The 19,387-nt window shown below is 55.7% G+C and overlaps 1 protein-coding gene across 1 annotated transcript, besides 4 other annotated features; it reads left to right on the forward strand.

The window, feature by feature from the left end:
* Window positions 1-341: 341 nt before the first annotated feature.
* On the forward strand, window positions 342-12,229 carry LOC124903090 (vegetative cell wall protein gp1-like). The gene is made up of 2 exons (XM_047429977.1): window positions 342-408; window positions 4,736-12,229. The coding sequence occupies exons 1-2, from the start codon at window positions 342-344 to the stop codon at window positions 6,220-6,222; spliced, it is 1,554 nt and encodes a 517-aa protein (XP_047285933.1). The 3' UTR covers window positions 6,223-12,229.
* Window positions 1,520-2,043: an enhancer, noted in NCBI's record as "H3K4me1 hESC enhancer chr12:131914223-131914746 (GRCh37/hg19 assembly coordinates)". NCBI's record gives its function as "activates a minimal SCP1, AML or CMV promoter by ChIP-STARR-seq in naive H9 embryonic stem cells {active_cell/tissue: H9 hESC(naive)}" and the evidence as "EXISTENCE:reporter gene assay evidence [ECO:0000049][PMID:30033119]".
* Window positions 4,814-5,527: an enhancer, noted in NCBI's record as "H3K4me1 hESC enhancer chr12:131917517-131918230 (GRCh37/hg19 assembly coordinates)". NCBI's record gives its function as "activates a minimal SCP1, AML or CMV promoter by ChIP-STARR-seq in naive H9 embryonic stem cells {active_cell/tissue: H9 hESC(naive)}" and the evidence as "EXISTENCE:reporter gene assay evidence [ECO:0000049][PMID:30033119]".
* Window positions 13,114-13,613: an enhancer, noted in NCBI's record as "H3K4me1 hESC enhancer chr12:131925817-131926316 (GRCh37/hg19 assembly coordinates)". NCBI's record gives its function as "activates a minimal SCP1, AML or CMV promoter by ChIP-STARR-seq in primed H9 embryonic stem cells {active_cell/tissue: H9 hESC(primed)}" and the evidence as "EXISTENCE:reporter gene assay evidence [ECO:0000049][PMID:30033119]".
* Window positions 17,052-17,101: an enhancer, noted in NCBI's record as "active region_7361". NCBI's record gives its function as "activates an Ori minimal core promoter by ATAC-STARR-seq in GM12878 lymphoblastoid cells {active_cell/tissue: GM12878}" and the evidence as "EXISTENCE:reporter gene assay evidence [ECO:0000049][PMID:35858748]".

The following is a 19,387-nucleotide window of genomic DNA, read 5'->3' on the forward strand; positions in this document are numbered from 1 at the left end:
GGGCAGAGAACCCTCAGACCCTGCAGCAAAGGACACTGTGCTCTGCCTGGATTCCCTCAGCACCTGGGTGAGCTACCCACCCTTGGTCTCCCCTCCAGTGGGCCTCACACCAGCGCCCATCCCTGTCTAGGCACAGACCATGTGGGAGGGATGCCCAGACATTCCGGCCAGCATCGGTGTTAGGAACAGTCCTGGTGGTCCTCAGTGAGGAGCCCAGAGGGGCAGAAGTTTGTGAGAGAGAAGGAGAAGAGCAGCAGGATGGGGCGGCAGGGATGGGGCACTGAGGACCGGGTGAATTCTCAGATCAGCCATTGACACAGCCATGCATCACAGGGCCACGGATGCCTCCGTCCATGCTGCCATTTCCACTGGCCTTTCCCACAGGGGAGCCCGGGGGCCCGTATGACCGTGAGAAGGGGTTGTGTCTGGTGGGTTGAGCTCAGAGCACGCTGGGGAAGCTGCACCCTCGTCTTCTTTCACCTGCAGCCAGGACATTTTCTGAGGCCTCTGAGGCTGCTGGCCAGGACAGGGAGGTTTCTGCAGAGCAGGGCAGAGAGCGCCTGGCTCCGGTGAGAAAGGGGCTGTCAGGCCAGGCGCAGTGGCTTACACCTGTAATCCCAGCACTTTGGGAAGCCAAGACAGGTGGATCACCTGAGGTTGGGAGTTCGCGACCAGCCTGACCAACATGGAGAAACCCCCATCTCTACTAAAAATACAAAATTAGCCGGGTGTGGTGGTGTATGCCTATAATCCCAGCTACTCTGGAGGCTGAGGGAGAAGAATCGCTTGAACCTGGGAGGCAAAAGTTGCAGTGAGTCGAGATCACGCCATTGCACCCCAGCCTAGGCAACAAGAGTGAAAGTCCATCTCAAAAAAAAAAAAAAAAAAAAGAAAACACAAAAAGAAAGGGGCTGTCAGGCAGGTGGCCAGGCCAGGGAGGTTTCTGCAGAGCAGGGCAGAGAGCCCCTGGCTCGGGTGAGAAAGGGGCTGTCAGGCAGGTGGCCAGGCCAGGGAGGTTTCTGCAGAGCAGGGCAGAGAGCCCCTGGCTCGGGTGAGAAAGGGGCTGTCAGGCAGGTGGCCAGCAGCCCTGAGCCTGGAGATGGGGATTCAGGAGCCCACCTGCTGCTCGGCTCAGAGCTGAGAGGAGAAACAGCCCAGAGGAACAGCGGCCTCCCCCATCCCAGCTCACGCAGAAATGCATTGGAATGTCAGGAAATTGTGTGTATTTGATGTATTTTACCTGTTGCCTAGAGAGCCCACACAGTGATGCAGGTGCCTGTTTACATTGGCTGATTGCCCGGACTTTGGAAATGCAATTATCCCCCACCACCCCCTCAGCCACTTTCTCCAGCGGACTAGGAGGGGCTGAGTGGTGCAGCCTCTGTGAAATGCTTGGCCCAGGAGAAAGCAATTCCAACGGGGCTGTGACAGCTGAGGGGGACGGTGTGGCTGCGCAGAGCCCATCAGGGCTTGTTACTGGAAGGAGAGGGAACAAATGCCAGGCAGGCAAAATGACCCAGGACCGGCGACCACAGGCCCCTGTGGCTTCAGCAAATGCAGCTGCTTCCATTTGGCTGCAGACAGAAGCTGGATGCACGTCTGTGACCAGAAATGGACCTGCCCCTTGGTGTCCATGACAACAGCCCCTCAAAAGCAGCTCTGAACTAATCCTACCTGGCCCAGGTGTGGCTGCGGTGAGACGTGCGTGGCATGCGGGTGCCCCACGCTGGGACAATCCCTTTGTTGAATCACAGAAGATGAATTAAGACAACATGCCTGGAGGTGCCCTGGGGACACAGAGGAATTAAGGATGAAAATCGCCAAAGCCAGGCTGGAGAAATTAATTTCAGTGTGTGAGCACACGATCAGGAGGACTCATTAAAGCTGAATGGAAATTAAATCCTGACATTCCAGGAGGGCACTAAAGCACCTAATGAGAAAGAGGGTACACACACAGCCAGGCAGCACTAACATGAGCTGCAGGTAACCAGGTGCAGGGTGGTGTGGCCTGGGTCCTAGACTGGTGGACAGCTGTGCGGGGCAGCTCCTCCTGGCTGACTAAAGTCCCAGCTATGCCCGGTCTGTGCCACCTGTCCTCACTTGTGTCTCACTGCTTAACAAACCACCCAAAAATGCTGTCACTTCAAACAAAATCAATAATTTATTATTTCTGACAATTCTGTGGTCAGGATCTCTGGCAGGGCCCAGCCGGGTGGCTCTTCTGCTGTGGCGTTGCCTGGGTTCCCTTCCTCAGTTGCATCTTGCTGGTGGCTGGGCTGAGCTGGAAGGTTCTAGAAGGATTTTATGTGACTGCCAGCATTGTTTTCAGGATGATTAAAAACAGCCCGTCTAATCCATCATCAAGACCTCAACAGTTACCATGGAGACCACTTTATTACCAAGAGGAGAATTCAGGGGAAGCATCTGTCAAATGAGCGAAGGCTGTCAGGCGTTGACTTCTCCTCCATCTGAGAGATGGCTCTGATCCTCAGGGCTGGGCTGTCTCTTCATGAAGTGGGAGCAGCCACAACTTGGTGATGGATCAGGATCACCCCACGCCTGAACCTGAGGCTTTAATTAAACTTCTCAAATCTCTACCTTGTGCCACCCTCTGCCCTTCACTCTCCTTGGGCTCAGCTGGAAGGAAGGGAGATTTGAGACACTGAAAAATACAGCGTTTGATTTGCTAATTCCCAATAAAAGGGAGTCGAGAGAAATTTATGTTCAGGGCTTTAGGAAGTGTGGGTGTTGGCTCCGTCCTAATGCCTGAAACTCACTGCGCCCCTGAGGGAGCAGCAGGTTTCCTCCTGCGAATGACTGCGATCTCTCAACTAAACTCCACCCAGGAAACCTGTGTTCACGTGAGGCAGGCGAGAGAATAATGGCTCAGAGACCCAGCAGAAGCCCCTGCTGACCTTGGGGTGTCCTCTAGCACCTGACAGAGGACACACCTGGAGGACCACGTGGCACTGCCGGCCCAGACTTAAAATATGGAATTAATCCCCAATAGGTAAAAAGTGGGAGATTTCCATGAATTCACCAGTTCACACATCATTTACCGTACCCTAGCTGAGCTGGGCACTGCTGTGGGTGCTGGGGATAGATGCTCGGGGAACAGAGACCCTGCCTGCGTGCAGACCCCCTTCGTGGGCCCACGTGCAAGCCGGATCCCTGAACGGATCCAACAGCCTGGGCAGCTGGCACGGGGCTCTCCTTGCTGCAGCATCTGTGGGTGAAGCCGCTGCTCCCCTTGGGACTGCACCCTCTCTGCGCCACAGTCCCCACCACGCCCTATCGCTCCCACGTTGGGGCTGATGCCACTTGCTGTTTGTCACCAATTGGGTGACGCTTCCTCAGAATGGACCAACAGGGAAAGGGAAGAGCTTTTGTTTTGTTTTGTTTTGTTTTTATGCTTACCAAAAATAGGAAAACAGAAGATAGACCATGGGGACTGAGTGTTTCCAGAACCCCTGGACGAACATTTCCGCACAGTTGTGGAAAATTCGTGGTTGAAAGTCCAAACTCTGAGAGCCAGTTGGCCTGGGCTCTCCCTCAGCCTCATCCTGGCTGGAGGATCGAGCAGCTTCCTGTGTCTCAGACCCTCAGGTTCCTCGTCTGTGAGTGGGGATGAGAACAGCACCTGCCACTTCTGGCTCTTTTTTAAAAACAATTTTAATAGAGATGGGGCCTCACTATGTTGCCCAGGCTGGTCTCAAACTCCTGGGCTCAAGCAATCCACCCACCTCGGCCTCCCAAAGTGCTGGGATTACAGGGGTGAGCCACTGCATCCGGCCCCTTTTCTGGCTCTTACGAGGGTTGAGTGAGCCTGTACACCTGAAGAATATAATATGCAAATAAAACCCCATCCGGCATGCAGGTCACTTCCTGGCCCCTGATGGTGTTTGATTTTTCAACCCCTGTGAATGGGCATCAGACTCAGAGCTTTGGGCAGATGAGGCCTTAGCTAGTTGTGAATAACATCATTTTGCCTTCATTTCACGTTCAAGCCACCTTCTGTTTATGGTAAGGGAGAACGATTTTCTGCTTATGGTAGTGAAATGATGTTTCATCTTTAGAGGAATTTAGTGGAGTTGAAAGTGAGATGATTTAAAGAAAAACATGGAATAAGTAATGTGTATGGAACATGGAAGGTAGGAAGTGAAGACTGGAGTCTGGGAAGCCAAGAATGAGTCCAATTTCCTCATTTTACAAGTGGGGAAACTGAGGCCCAGAGAAGGGACAGGACTCACCCAGGGCCACACAGCGAGGCTAAGGCAGAGGGAAAACCAGAATCCATGTGGCTCCCCCCAGACTCAGTGTGTGGCTGGTCACTGCTGATGGCTCACCCACCAGGGACAGGAGGAGGAGGAGGAGAAGGGCAAAAAGGAGGAGGAAGAGAATGAGGAGGAGGAGTTGGGGAGGAAGGGGGGGAGGAGGAGGAAGAGAGGAGGAGAAGGAACTGAAGGAAGAAGAGGAAGAGGAGGAGGAGGGAAGTAGGAGGAAGAGGAGGAAGGGAGCAGGAGGTATCTGTGGGCTCTCATTGCCCAGTTTCGTCCTCTGTGGGGAAGGCCGGTGGGAGCCTGTCACGGCTCATTGGTCTCTGCGCTGCCTGGCGGCTTTCACACAATAGCAGGTTTCAGTAGCTGTGGGAGAGCCCCCATGGCCCTTGAAGATTAAGGTATTTCCCATCTGGGTCTTTATGGAAGACGTTTTCTGGCCCAACTCTACCCTGTAGTACCCCCCAACATCCCCTGGGTCCCCTCCCCCATGTCCCAGCATCCCCCGCGTCCTCTCCTCTGTGTCCGGGCATCCCCTGCGTCCCCTGCGTCCTCTCCCCTGTGTCCCGGCATCCCCCGCATCCTCTGCCCTGTGTCCCGGCATCCCCCGCATCCTCTGCCCTGTGTCCCGGCATCCCCCGCATGTGTCCCCTGCATCACCTCCCCTGTGTCCCGGCATCGTCTGCCCTGTGTCCCCCGCATCCTCTGCCCTGTGTCCCCCGCATCCTCTCCCCTGTGTCCCGGCATCCCCCGCGTCCTCTCCCCTGTGTCCCAGCATCCCCCGCGTCCTCTCCCCTGTGTCCCGGCATCCCCCGCGTCCTCTCCCCTGTGTCCCGGCATCCCCCGCGTCCTCTCCCCTGTGTCCCGGCATCCCCCGCGTCCTCTCCCCTGTGTCCCGGCATCCCCCGCATCCTCTCCCCTGTGTCCCGGCATCCCCCGCGTCCTCTCCCCTGTGTCCCGGCATCCCCCGCGTCCTCTCCCCTGTGTCCGGGCATCCCCTGTGTCCCCCGCATCCTCTCCCCTGTGTCCCGGCATCCCCCGCGTCCTCTCCCCTGTGTCCCGGCATCCCCCGCGTCCTCTCCCCTGTGTCCCGGCATCCCCCGCGTCCTCTCCCCTGTGTCCCGGCATCCCCCGCGTCCTCTCCCCTGTGTCCCGGCATCCCCCGCGTCCTCTCCCCTGTGTCCCGGCATCCCCCGCGTCCTCTCCCCTGTGTCCCGGCATCCCCCGCGTCCTCTCCCCTGTGTCCCGGCATCCCCCGCGTCCTCTCCCCTGTGTCCCGGCATCCCCCGCGTCCTCTCCCCTGTGTCCCGGCATCCCCCGCGTCCTCTCCCCTGTGTCCCGGCATCCCCCGCGTCCTCTCCCCTGTGTCCCGGCATCCCCCGCGTCCTCTCCCCTGTGTCCCGGCATCCCCCGCGTCCTCTCCCCTGTGTCCCGGCATCCCCCGCGTCCTCTCCCCTGTGTCCCGGCATCCCCCGCGTCCTCTCCCCTGTGTCCGGGCATCCCCTGTGTCCCCCGCATCCTCTCCCCTGTGTCCCGGCATCCCCCGCGTCCTCTCCCCTGTGTCCCGGCATCCCCCGCGTCCTCTCCCCTGTGTCCCGGCATCCCCCGCGTCCTCTCCCCTGTGTCCCGGCATCCCCCGCGTCCTCTCCCCTGTGTCCCGGCATCCCCCGCGTCCTCTCCCCTGTGTCCCGGCATCCCCCGCGTCCTCTCCCCTGTGTCCCGGCATCCCCCGCGTCCTCTCCCCTGTGTCCCGGCATCCCCCGCGTCCTCTCCCCTGTGTCCCGGCATCCCCCGCGTCCTCTCCCCTGTGTCCCGGCATCCCCCGCGTCCTCTCCCCTGTGTCCCGGCATCCCCTGTGTCCCCTGCATCCTCTCCCCTGTGTCCCGGCATCCCCCGCATCCTGTCCCCTGTGTCCCTGGCTTTCTCTGTGTCCTCTCCCCTGTGACCCAGCATCCCCTGTGTCCTTGCTCCTGGACACCAGCCACCAGGGAAAGGCCACACCAGAGTCAGCTTTCCCCGTCACAGATCAGCTGGCTGGGCTTTTGTGGGTCTATTCCTGGGCTCCCCGTTTCGTCCCAGTCATCCATTTATCTGTTCTTTCATTGATACTGTTACCTGGGATGAATGCCTATGGAACATAGCTGAATTTCTACCCTGCGCTAACTCTGCTTATCTTTAGGAAACAGGACTCCCAGGATAAAAAGTTCCCTTTCTAACCAGACCAGCTGAGACTGGTTGAAACCAAGATAGCTGACCGAGAAACTTCAAAAAGACCTTCAGCCTTATTATCATCTCATTTCCATGCTCAGTGACACGCCCACAGTGCCATGATGGTTGGAAATCACCATGACGATGACTGGAGGAAGGAAGGTCGCGCTCCGGTTCCAGGAAGCTCACTGCCCGCTCCCGGAAAAGACATGAATATTCCTCCCCTTGCTTGGTGTGTCCAACCCTTTCATGAGACAGTCAGTGTGTGTCAGCCTCCCCACCCCTCCCAGGCTGAGTGGATTTGTGAGCCGCACTCCCACTTCTCAATGCCAGGGCCACGGAATGAAGCCTGCACTGCGGACACTCACTTTCGGTTTCATGTATTGGCTTCGTGACACCCCACAGCGAAAGACCCTCTGTTCTGGGGGAATGACTGTGTTGGTGACAAAACCATGCTTTCTGGATCACTGTGGTATTACGGCAGGGCTTGAAGTCAGGTATGTGGGTTCTCCAACTCTGTTCTTTTTTCTTCCTCATGGTGTTGGCTGTCCGAGGACTTTCGCCTTTCCATATGAACTTTAGACTCAGGTGGCATCGCCTGCAGAATGCCTTGCTGGGATTGGCCGGGATTGAACGTTAGACTCAGGTGGCATCACCTGCAGAATGCCTTGCTGGGATTGGCCGGGATTGAACGTTAGACTCAGGTGGCATCACCTGCAGAATGCCTTGCTGGGACTGGCTGGGATTGAACGTTAGACTCAGGTGGCATCGCCTGCAGAATGCCTTGCGGGGATTGGCTGGGATTGAACGTTAGACTCAGGTGGCATCGCCTGCAGAATGCCTTGAGGGGATTGGCCGGGATTGAACGTTAGACTCAGGTGGCATCGCCTGCAGAATGCTTTGCTGGGATTGGCTGGGATTGAACGTTAGACTCAGGTGGCATCGCCTGCAGAATGCCTTGCTGGGATTGGCCGGGATTGAACGTTAGACTCAGGTGGCATCGCCTGCAGAATGCCTTGCTGGGATTGGCCGGGATTGAACGTTAGACTCAGGTGGCATCACCTGCAGAATGCCTTGCTGGGATTGGCTGGGATTGAACGTTAGACTCAGGTGGCATCGCCTGCAGAATGCCTTGCGGGGATTGGCTGGGATTGCAGCGAATCACCTCTTGGCTCTAATAGCCAAAATTCATAGCTGTGCAGAACTCTCTTTGAAAAAATGGCCAATGATTACATAAGAGTGAATCCAATTCCCATTAACAAATCTTAATATAATACATCCAACAAAGCTACGTGTAGAAACTAAGTGACATCAAACATATGCTTGTCGTAATCACGTGTGTTGAAAACTGTGTTGAAAAGTGCACCAGGTGCCAGTAGGGGCCAAGGGACCTAGGCCCCTTGCCAAGGTCAGCGCATGCTGACCTGCGCTGGTGGTCGGGTGGAGGGCTCCATTTGCAAACAGGCGACAGTTGGCTGCCAATCTTGTTGATCATTTATTTGCTGATCAAAAAGGAATTCTGTCAGTACTGTGCACCCTAACACAATATTTGGACCTTCATACATGTATTAGTCGGTTTTCCTGCTGCTAATAAAGACATACCCAAGACTGGGTAATTTATAAAGGAAAGAGGTTTAATGGACTCACAGTTCCGCATGGCTGGGGAGGCCTCACAATCATGGTGAATGGCAAAGGAGGAGCAAAGTTGCATCTTACATGGCAGCAAGCAAGAGGCCTTGTGCAGGGGAACTCCCATTTATAAAACCATTAGATCTCATGAGACTTACTCACTATCACGAGAACGGCATGGGAAATGTCTGCCTCCATGATTCAATTACTTCCCACCAGGTCCCTCCCACAACACATGGGAATTATGGGAGCTACAATTCAAGATGAGATTTGGGTGGGGACTCAGCCAAACCATATCGATACATAAGCATTTTACTGGGCTTTGGCTGTATTAAGGGATTGATTGGAGATTTTAAGATCATACATTATAATTTTTCCCATTTAAAATAATGCAAAATGTGTTCTTCATTGATGCTTCCAAGCACAGATTCTGACATTTTGCAACAGGATTCCAATGTTAAGAGAAAGCTCCGTGTCACTTACTGGTTCTGATGGGTCAGACCTGGACTCGGGGAATGGAGGGGCTGGGTTCCTCCTAAACCACAGGGACTGAGGTGGGGTACGAGTGACTACCCAAAAGAACACTGGGGTTCATTTAGCAACAGGATGGGAAATGGATACTGAAAAGCAAAATAACAAATTTTACAAAAATGTTTTCTGTCCAAGAATTAAATATGTGACACATCAATGTGTTCAATGTCCTTACATATTATGCGTAAGACATCTGGGCACAGATAGGAAGGCAGGACAGGTCTGAGCACCTCCCGCCACCTCTCCCCTCCCGGCTCAGGAAAGCTGCTCACAGCTGCAGCCAGCCCGGCCCCCCGCCCTCACCTGCTCCCCCTGCTGTCTCCAGAGTCCCTGGGCTTTCTCCCCCTCCACCTGTTTCCTCTCCTTGGGCTGCCTCTCCCAGGCTAAACATGCCCGGGGCACATCAGTGTTGAAAAGAGCTGTTTCTCTGCTGTCCTCACCCCTAAGCTACAGGCTACACCTTGTTTCCCACCCACGGAGAATCTTCTAGGGAAATTAGTGCACAGGATAAGCTTTTAACAGATTATCAGAAACGTTTTCATCCTAGTGTTTCCTGTGACCATGTGGCCCGCCCATCCAGGATGGTCTGCATCCAGGGAAAGATGGGGAAGAGGGGAGGGCAGGCCCAGTGGGGGCCTCCCCACCCACAGGCCCCTCCTCCTCCTGATGGAGCAGCCCCATCTGCTACAAGCACTCCCCAGGGGTGCGGGGTTCATGCTTAGAGCAGCAATCATTCCTGTTTATCTGAAATTCAAATCTGCCTGGCATCAGGTACATTCATTTACTAACCTGCAGCTCCACCTGGAATGATTTGGGACAGCCCTTCCCATCTCCCTGGGAAGGATCAGTGGTGTTTGGACAGGCACTTTGCACCCTGGGTGCCTGTGAGGTGGGTTCCCCTTCAAGAAGAGGCCTAACCAGTGCTCCTGCTCCCTGGGTCGGGTCTCCTCACAGCCCAGGGTCTGGGTGGTCTGCAGGGCAGGCTGTTCTCTGTTCCTCCAGCAAGGATGACCACTGCAGGTGGGGCTGCAGGGAGGCCAGGTGCTACCAGGTAGAGGCCAGAGCTGGGTCGCTCAGTTCGCTCTGCTCTTGTCCTCAGACCCCGATGCCAGCTCTAGAAAGAGGGGCCCTTTTGCCTTGGCCTCTCCATGGGGCACAGGCCTCCCTCCCCACCCCACCACGGCAGTGGGGGCATGAGCTCCAGGGACACCTGCTTTCCTCACAGCCCTGCCCTGAGGACGCTGATTTGCCTTCTTGCCACAGGTCCAGAAAAGTCTGGATTTGATCCTGGCACCGAGGAGGGTCTCTGTGAGCTTGGACTCCTCTCCTGACAGGGGGAAGGGCAGGGCCAGTGCATCTCACAGCCATGGCAGGCTGATGGGACTGTCACACAGCTTTTTGGCCTTGAACTCAGGGCTTAATGTTATCATATCACTTAATACTCCCAGGGACCTGGGTGAGGTACAGTCCCATTCCCATTTGACAGAGAGGAGGCTGGGGTGCACTGAGAGGTAATCAGTGTGCTGGCGACATTTAACAGCCAGCTCTCCAGAAACATAAATCACCCTGATTTGTGGAGATTGCCAGGTTCCCAGGCACAAATATTCCCAGCACATCCAATTTCAAGTGCTAGCAGTTTAACAACTGGCTCATAAAACCCCTGAAAATGTGAGAGTCGGCTCCCACAAGCTGCTGTGGGACAGCCCCAGCTCCCTGATAACCTTCTAGGACCTGCCCTAGTTGGGGAGGAGACGGATCCAGACCCCAAGGGCCTGGACACCAGGGGGGCTCCACTCAGATCCTCTGGCCCTCACCATTCCCAGGACCCCCTCTTGGGCTTCTGTGTTCTTCTCTCTCCAGGGCTGGCTCCTGACACTCCTCTTTAAACAACTGTCCTTAGGCCACTGAGCCCGACCAGCCCCACTGCAGTGAGCCGAAGTGGCCTGGGGGCCAGCCATGCTGAAGCTGCCTCCTCCCAGCTTGTGGGATATGATTTTGGTGTTTACAGTTTTCAGGAATTATATAAACCAGGTATGACACAGGCTGAACATCAGTCATGGTGAAATTATTCACATCCCAGGAACCTGGCAGGGGCTGTGCTGCTGCTGCCCCTGGGAGTGAGTTGTCCCACACTCAGCAGCTCGCCCTGTCTCATCCTCCCCACCTAGCGAGGCTTTGACCAGTGACGGGGGTGTGGGAACCTCCAACAGGGCGGCTGAGGCTGGGTTCACGCTCCAGGGCGCCCCTGCAGGACCACAAGGAAGCCATTGCAGTCAGGAGACCTGGCGCTCAAAGCTTCGCTTATCCTGACCCTGTGCCTCTCCCCGCTCCCTCCCGGCCCTCCCTTCACGCGTCACCTGTTCCCAAGTCCTCATCCCAGGATCTGCTTCCGGGGACCAGGCCTGATAGGCTCCAAAGCTCTGCTCTTAACCAGCACCGCAACTGGAGGAAAAGCAGGAGGCATTTGGCTGTTGATGATCATGACATTTTCATTATTCTGTGTGGTTTGGGTTTATTTTACCCAAGGAGCACAGTCCACAGAAAATAGAACATTTCAGGAATACCAACCAAGCTAAGTAACATGTTCACATGATATTTATTAAAACTGTGATGAAACCGGCTCCACAAACCGTTGATAGAAGATGGGCTGTGTAAAACCGGTACTGGGAAAACGGGTTGTCTGTGTGGAGGAAAGTAAGACTGAATCGCTAACCAATACTGCAAACAAAGATGGAGTCTAGATGGATTAAAAACCTGAATATGAAAAGAGAGAAAATATGAAAACATATAGAGTCTTTGGGAACTTGTGCCTGGGAACAATTTTTTAAACACATTTGGAAAGCATAAACCATAGAAAAATGATTAGTTTTGTCACATCAAAACAAAGGATGCCTGCTTAATGAAGAAGACCATGAACAAAATCATTAGACGACTGGCAAAATGGGAAAAGAGATTTGCAAAGTTTAAAACTGGAACGTGATCAGTGTGTCAAATATACAATGTAACTTTGTAAATCAACAAGGAAACAAGGAGAAATCCCAAAGAATGGACAGAGCGATGTGAGCAGGCAACACCCAGGAGAGGAAATCCCAACAGGCCAAGATGCCACACCCAGGCTGTCTCCTGTCACTCCTGGCGGTGATTAGGAAGCTGGCGGCTCCCAGCCTGGGCAGGGACGCAGGGATGTCCTGCAGGTGGGGGTGGACGGAGGGCCCTGGACCCAGCGGTCCCACCTCAAGTAGACACCCAGGGAGGTGCTGACCCAGGCCCACAGATGACCTCTGAGGCCCACAGATGACCTCTGAGCCTGTCTGTGGGGGCCGGGAGGGGCACAGGACCTGGGTGGGTGTCCCTGGGAGAACAGAGAGGAAAATGGGGTGGGCGCACACGGAGAACCATGCAGCAATGAGACAGCATGAGCTGGTGCACACGGAGCGATATGAGAGCATCTTTAAAACATGATTATTTGTAAAAGTTTACAAATACACAGAATGAAATTAATCACATGAGACCATTGACGTTCATGCCCGGAAACAGCAATGGGCACTCTCCAAGAACACGTCCCAATAAAAAGATCGTCATTACACACGGCTCAGTGATTTCCTAACGGCAGGGAGGGGAATGGGAGGAGGAATGGGAAGGAACGAAAATACACCATAAAGCCTGAAGCCTGAGGGAATCCACGCGCAGAGAGATGAGATGTGATGTGTCACACACTGTGCAGTGGGGTTCATTCACTCCTGACTCTTGAGGGCCAGTCATGAAGTGGGGGAAGAGATGGACGCAGTGAGGTACGGGCTGTGAGACCCGTGGAGACCTCAAAGGCTGGGTGTCAGGATGTGTGTGTCCTCCCTCCCGTTACAGGACAGTGTGACCACACCCCCTGCCTGGCTCTGCCCCTCCAGCCTGGCCCCGCCCACGCCTGACCCAGCCCCCTCCAATGTGGCCCCGCCCCTATGGCCTGACCACACCCCGACCACACGTCTCCACCTTGGCCCCATCCCTGTGGTTTGACCTTGCCCCTCCATCCTGGCTTCCCCCAGTGCTTGACAGCACTCCATGGTTAGAGCATGCCCTTCACCCTGGCCCCACCCTTCTGTCTGGCTCCTCCCCTCACCCTGGCCCCACCCCTATCTCCACACCCATGGCTTGGCCACCCCTGTCCATCCTATCCCCACCCCCTATTTCTAGCCATTTCCTTCTCTGATCCCTCACCTCTACCCTGGCCCTGCCCTTATGGTTTGACCACGCCTCTCCACCCTGACCTCACCCCTGTGGTTTGACCCCGTGCATCCATCCTGGCCCCACCCCTATGACTTGACCATGCCTTGACCACGCCTCTCCACCCTGACCTCGCCCCTGTAGTTTGACCACGCCCCTCCATCTTGGCCCCACCCCTATAACTTGACCACACCCTGACCCGCTGTGTGCTCCATGTCACAGATGCTTTTGGCCTGCAGCCCCCGCTTTCCCCACAGCCCCACCTCCTCAGGAGAGGAGCACTGGCTTCCTTGGCTCAGCATGGTGTCCCCTGTGCAGCTGACACAGAGCTGTGCTGTCTCCAGTGTGGACAAGCCTGCAGGTGGCCCCAGCTCAGACTCCTAAGTGCTTTCTGGAGCCCGGAAGCAGAGGGAGGGCACTGCCAGAATTCTCATTTCACACCTCTATGTTCATCCTGAGATGGGAACGGATCCCTTGTTTATGGGGCAGACCCACACACCGTATGTGGACTCTGTCCTAACGCTAGCACAGAGGGCAAACTGCTTGGTCAAAATCGCCCTTACACATCACCCCAAAACACAATGCTCAGTGGTTCTCCAAAATATATACAGAACAGATGTAAACATATTCAGGAAGCAGAACACAGACTGAAATGAACAGCAGATAATAAATGGCATATGTGTTAAATCTAACTGGGCATATTCGATTTGAACTATTTCTCTCATTTTGTCTTGCAAAATGCATATCTTGGAATTCCTATAACTCACATGTGGATATGGTGAGAATCCAAAGTTGCTGAATCATGGAATGGCCAGTCAGAGCCCAGGCTCCCTGAACAGCACTGGGCAGCCTCTGCCTCGCAGGTGCAGAGTCTCACATCAGCAGAACCAGAAAATCAATTACCATCCACCTCACAGCTCCGCAGTGAGGGCCGCTGAGAGCTGAGGGGCCTCCTGGGCCAGGCCCCACTCTAAACACCTTCCACGCAGGACTCAGTCAGCCCAGCACCCCCAGAAGGTGAGCTGGCTGCTGTCCTCATTTTATAGAGGAAGAAACAGAGACATTAAAGAACCTGTCCCAGGTTCTCTTAAAATTATAACTGAGGAAATTATGACTATGAAAGAAATCAGACCTAACCGACTCCATCTTGCTTCTAACCTTTAAGCTGTCCTTGTTCTTTCCTGGGTGTAAGCTGAACTCACTTTGGGAAGGAATTCAGTTCATGGTTTGACTCTGAAACAAAATTGATAAAGGCCCTTTCCCGAAAAGGCCCCGTTCTTGCCTGGGGACCGGTCTGCCTTTGCAGGACTAACAAATTAGCTACAAGATTCGAAATTACGGTTTAGGTGTCATGCAGCTTCTGGCTCCAAGAGTCTGAACCTCCCCAAACTGCTCCTGAGAATAACATCACTGTTGTAAACCTAACATCAGGGCTTCAGGTGTTTTGCAGGCCCTGCACTGGATGGATCAGCTGCCACCACCCAGACCGGTAATCTGGCCCAATCAGTGCTGCCATCGCAGCCAGGAACAGAAGACAGCAAGAAAATCTCACTTCAACCCCCTGATTGCATCTCCAACCTGACCAATCAGCACTCCCCACTTCCCAAGCCTCGACCCACCAAACTATCTTTAAAACCTCTGCTCCCCAAATGCTCGGGAGACTGATTTGAGTAATGATAGAACTCTGGTCTGCCGCACAGCGGGCTCTGCGTGAATTACTCTGTCTCCACTGCAATTCCCCTGTCTTGATAAATCGGTTCTGTCTAGGCAGCAGGCAAGGTGGACCCCTTGGGCGGTTACCCAGGGAACACAGGAGTGGAAGGGGAGCGGGTTGGGGCCTGCGTGGTTTGGATTCCTGATCTGAACTGGCTACACTTGTGTTCAGTCCCCCACGAGGTCACCTGTGCATGATTCCTCTCGGTAGCCTCAGTGACACACAATTTGTGAGTGAATGAATGAATGAAAGAACAAACCAACACATGTGGGTCACTGTCCCCAAGTGATGCTCTTTCGGCCAAGCTCAACCCACCCGATCGGGTTGTCAGGGGAACATTCTCTGCTCAAAGAATCCTCTCCACTCTGCCAAAGACGCCCTGGGCCCGCGGAAGCCACACCCAGGAGCCCCCTTAATGTTCAAAGTGGCTGAGTTTCCCCAGGTCACCAACGCCAAGCCTGCGTGGCCGATTTCCCTGGGAGCCTGTGGTGCTCTCTGGGGTCATGGAGCAGGGGCACCTGTGCGGCTCTGCCAGGCCTGGCTTCCCCCCTGCTTATGAGGGGCTCACTTCAGGAGCACTGAGCCTGTCTACCGGCCCCGTGGCCCTGCCCGGGGGTGCGATGCAGATCCAGGTCCTGAGAAGAGATGGGCCGGCCTGGGAGACTCTGGGCTGTAATTGTGCCTTCCTGCCGGGAAAGACCCCAGGGCCCTCCAGGTGGCCGACGTCTGCGTCTTCTTTAATTATTTAGTCCCACGGTCACCTCAAGCCAGCGCTCCTCACCACGGACATATGGGTGGGGCTTGCTGTCGGGTGGGCTGTGCCGCTGTCCCTCCCAGGCACTGGAATTGTGCTGGCGCTGACAGGAGGAAGCCCAGAGCTGCATGGGGTCAGCAGAACCGTCCTCCAGGAAGCTGACGCTGGATGCAGTGCAGTTCGGGACTGGCTGTGCTCATCAGAACCACTCAATGTCATGCGGCAAACACGCCCACAGGGTCAGGGCACAGGGGGCTGGATCCACAACACAGTCTTCTGGTGACAGCTCCAGGCCCGCTGTGGCCACGTGTCCCGGAGGTGCGAAACTGTGGGGAACATTCCTCCCACACTTCTGCCCTTCCCTTCCTCTGCTTAACCCCTGGGCTGACTCCGCCTGTGGGGGATGCTGCGGCTGGGGGTCTCTGTCCCCACCCTTCCCAGGCCCAGGCTTGTGCTGAGGTCCCAGTGTCCAGGCCAGCAGGTGGCAGATCCTGGGACCACCCTAAGCCGTGGGAGCCCTCTGGCATCAGCCAATGAGGAAAGGCCCTGACCAGGTGGCCTCAGGGACAGTGTGGGGTCCTCCTGGGTCAGGAACTGGAAGCTGCTGTCAGAGGAAACCTCTGAGGTGACCCTAAAGTCCACAGAAAACCAGGGAGGCCAGGGCGGGCTCGGTCCAGCCTCACGTGGGCAGAGACCCCAACCTACCTCTCAACCCCTCCCCACACCTGCCCCCCATATTCTGACACCTGCACCCAGGGCGCCCTTCTGGGAACGGCTCCTGAACCTGGGCCTGTGCTGAAGAGTCAGGGACGCTGGGCTCTGAGCGGTTCTGGCCAGTCCCCTCCATCAGGGCCCCCGAGTCCCTCCGGCTGGGCCAAGGTGGAGCCCACGGCGGGTGAGGCAGGAGGAGCAGCTCTGCCTTCAAGGGGAGACTCACTCCCAAGCACCCCTGGGCCCATCTTAGGCCACGGTGGGACCGAGGCTGGCGGGACCAGGACCTGAGGGCACTGGGGCAGCCTGAGAAGCCAGGCCTTGGTGGATGGAGAGGCTGCCGCCCCGGGCTCTGCTCAGAGGCTCCTCAGCCTCTCTGGCTGTGTCCAGCGGGCTGACCCTCAGGGTCCAGGCTGTAAGTCCACTGGCCCCTGCCAGGGTTTGGCCAAAAGAGGGCACAGTCAGGAGCAAGAGGAAACAAGGAGGGGGCGCAGGGTGGGCCCCATGCCCTGAGATTTCTCACTGCACCCTCCACAGCCCGGTGTCCCTGGGAAAGCCCTCTGCGCCCCCAACTCCCGCTGACCTGGGCAGGGCCCTGCATACCCGCTCCTTCCCCCCCCATCCCCAGGGCCATGGCTGTGGCTGCTCTCTGGGTGGCCCTGGGCCCTGCACCTCAACTTGCAGTGAGCTCCCCCTGTGCTCTCCTGCCTCCCATCAAGTCACTTTAGCCTCCTGAGGAGGTCAGAACCCAGTGGGGCCAAGAGGCCTGGGTGGGGTGGGGCTCCCCGTGGGCACCGGCTGTTCTAAACCATGGCCCTGGGGCAGCCTCAAAGGACAGGGGAGGACGCGGGGCCACAGGGTGGAACTTGTCCAGGGCAGGCAGATGAGAGGCCTCTCCTCACTAGTTGTGCCTCGTTCTTCCACCTGGGACAGGCACAACCTCCTTCCAACCCCAACCTGGGCCACCCCTCACCGGAGCCACCCAGGGTCCTCTTCCTCCAGCCTTAATGCTGTTTAACTGCCCTGAAGTATTTGTCCTGGGCTGCGGAGGCCAAGGGCAAGGCCTGACGGGGTGAAATGCAGTTTCCTCCCAGGTCTGGGAATCCCCTGGTCTCTCTTTCAGATTCCATTGTCATTTCAGAATTCCAGTTTTTAACACAGATCAGTCCTCGCCTCGGGGCAGCCGCTCCTCCCAGCACCCAGGGCAGCTGGCCTGGAGGGGGCTCGCCCTGGCAGGGCCCAGCTCTCCATGCAAAGCCCTCTAGCAGGAAGGGGAACTCCCCCAGAGCCCTGTGGGGAGTGAGGAGTTAACTCTCACGTGGTCTCTGGTCCTGGGACCACAAGAGCTCAGGAAGGATTTTCCCGCCTCTCAGGGCCTGGTCCTAATCTGACTTGTGATCTGGAGGCCTCAGAACTTGGAAAAAAAGAAACATGTCGTTCATGTAACAGAAATCAGATATGTCTTTCTGAGACAGCTCCGAGCCCAAGTGAAGGTGAAAAGCGAACGTCGGCTTTCTTCTTGCTAAAATTTCAAGTTCAGATTTTATGTTCTCAAATAATTTGTCATGTAGATCAGGTACCTTAGGTCAAAAACGTGTCATGAACATTCAGACACAGATGACAAATGACGATGAGAGGAACAGCTTGCTATGTTTCCTCAACAAATCCCAAGCAGCCCTGACACAGAGGCCTCTGGGAGCCGGGCTAGGTCAATAACAGCAATCAATCAATTAGGCCATCAGCATCCCTTACCAAAAGGAAGGAGGTTCCCTGTGCACGCTGGAAAAATACATCCAAGGGAACAAGCAGAGTGGGATGAAGGACCGCCTGCTGATGGTCACAGACTAACCCACCTACCGTACCAACCTACCCCCACCCCAGGAATAAATCAGGGCTGCAGTTAAACAGATCAACAAAAGCAAACACGCACAGCCTCCTGCGGTGCCACAGTTCTCACGGCGACTTTCTCCCGGTGTAGACCGCTGTGTGTGGCTGCCTGGGGAATCCGGGGTCGTGACTTAAGACAGAGGGCAGAACACTCTGGACAGTTCTGATGTCTAAATGGTGTTGGCCACCCCTCCTGTGCCGTGCTGGGTCCCAGCGAGGGGAAGATGGAGAGGGAGGACCCTGCCCAGAGTCCCACCGTGCGACGTTGGAACTGCAGGAAAAGGAGGGTCTGAGCAAGTCCCCACCGCCCCACCACTGCTCCCCTCCACGGGGCTGGGGCACCTGCCTGAGGCCCCGTCCCGTCCCCACCCACGTCCTGTCAGAACCCACAGGCTGGGGTGCTCAGAGACCCGGAGCATCTGGGAGGGATGGAAAGCTCTCAGGACAGACGTCCAGGAAAATGTCACTTCTCTTAATGGCTCTCCTTTCCAGGGCTTCCTCAATTAGGATAACGAGGCTCTGCATGCTTCCCTGCCTGCCAAGCACAGCGGTTGAAATTTTATATTAGAAACATTCATTTCCTCTCATAGTAGAATTATTTTTTAATTTTACTTTGAAGTGTGGTCTCTGCATGAAATACAAGCCTAATTAGATCATGGTGGTAATGTATTCAAACCATAAGAATGAGAAGTGATTTGAAACTCTCTCGTTCCCACACCCTTTATAATTCAGCAGTAAACGGCATATTTATGGGAGTGGGTGAACAGTTACCGGGTGCACCACCATTGCCAGACATTTATCAGGGACCCTGGGGCTCTGCAGGAGCCAAGAAACCCAGGACATTCCGAAGCTCCTGCTTCAGAGGTCAGCACAGCTGGGGAGGCGGGACAGGATCCAATATCAGAGAGGAGCTGGGGTCTTGCTGAGCACAGGGGTGTCTGGGGAGAGCAGCTGGGGGCTCATCAGAGCAGACAGAAACTCTGGGGACGGCTCTCCAGTCGTGGGTGCCGCGGGCACCAGGATGTTACCAAAGGCTTTGATGGAAGTAGCGTTTCCTAAACATCGGCCCACCCATGTGGTGGGAGGGGTGCAGCGGGCACAGCCTCAGAACCTGGCTCTCCACGGCCCCCTCATTTCTCTCCGAATTTTCCCAGGCTGATAAGACTGAAGTTGGGGTGGGAGGAACAGAGAAGGGTACCAACTAGGACTTCATTTGTCAGGGACAGAACCCACTTCAAACTGGCTTAAGAATGAAAGGGATTTATTGGTTCATGTAACTCAGAGGTGCAAGGGTAGCTACCTTCAGGTGCGGCTGGATCCAGGGGCTCCTGTGATGCAGCTGGGACCTCCCCACGCCCTCAGCTCTGCCTCCCTCCATGATGGCTCCATGGTCAGCCAGGCTCCCCTTGGCATCTTCATCTGCGTCCAACAGGGGTGGGCTCCTCCAAGGCAAAG

Source organism: Homo sapiens, chromosome 12 (genome assembly GCF_000001405.40).
Source record: "Homo sapiens chromosome 12, GRCh38.p14 Primary Assembly".
Lineage (NCBI taxonomy): Eukaryota > Metazoa > Chordata > Mammalia > Primates > Hominidae > Homo > Homo sapiens.

Bases quoted from the DNA above. Each gene is read 5' to 3' on its own strand.
- LOC124903090 (XM_047429977.1), top strand. From the start codon at position 342: ATGCCTCCGTCCATGCTGCCATTTCCACTGGCCTTTCCCACAGGGGAG. The intron at 409-4,735 runs GTGAGAAGGGGT...TCTACCCTGTAG, and splicing joins GCCCGGGGGCCCGTATGACC to TACCCCCCAACATCCCCTGG.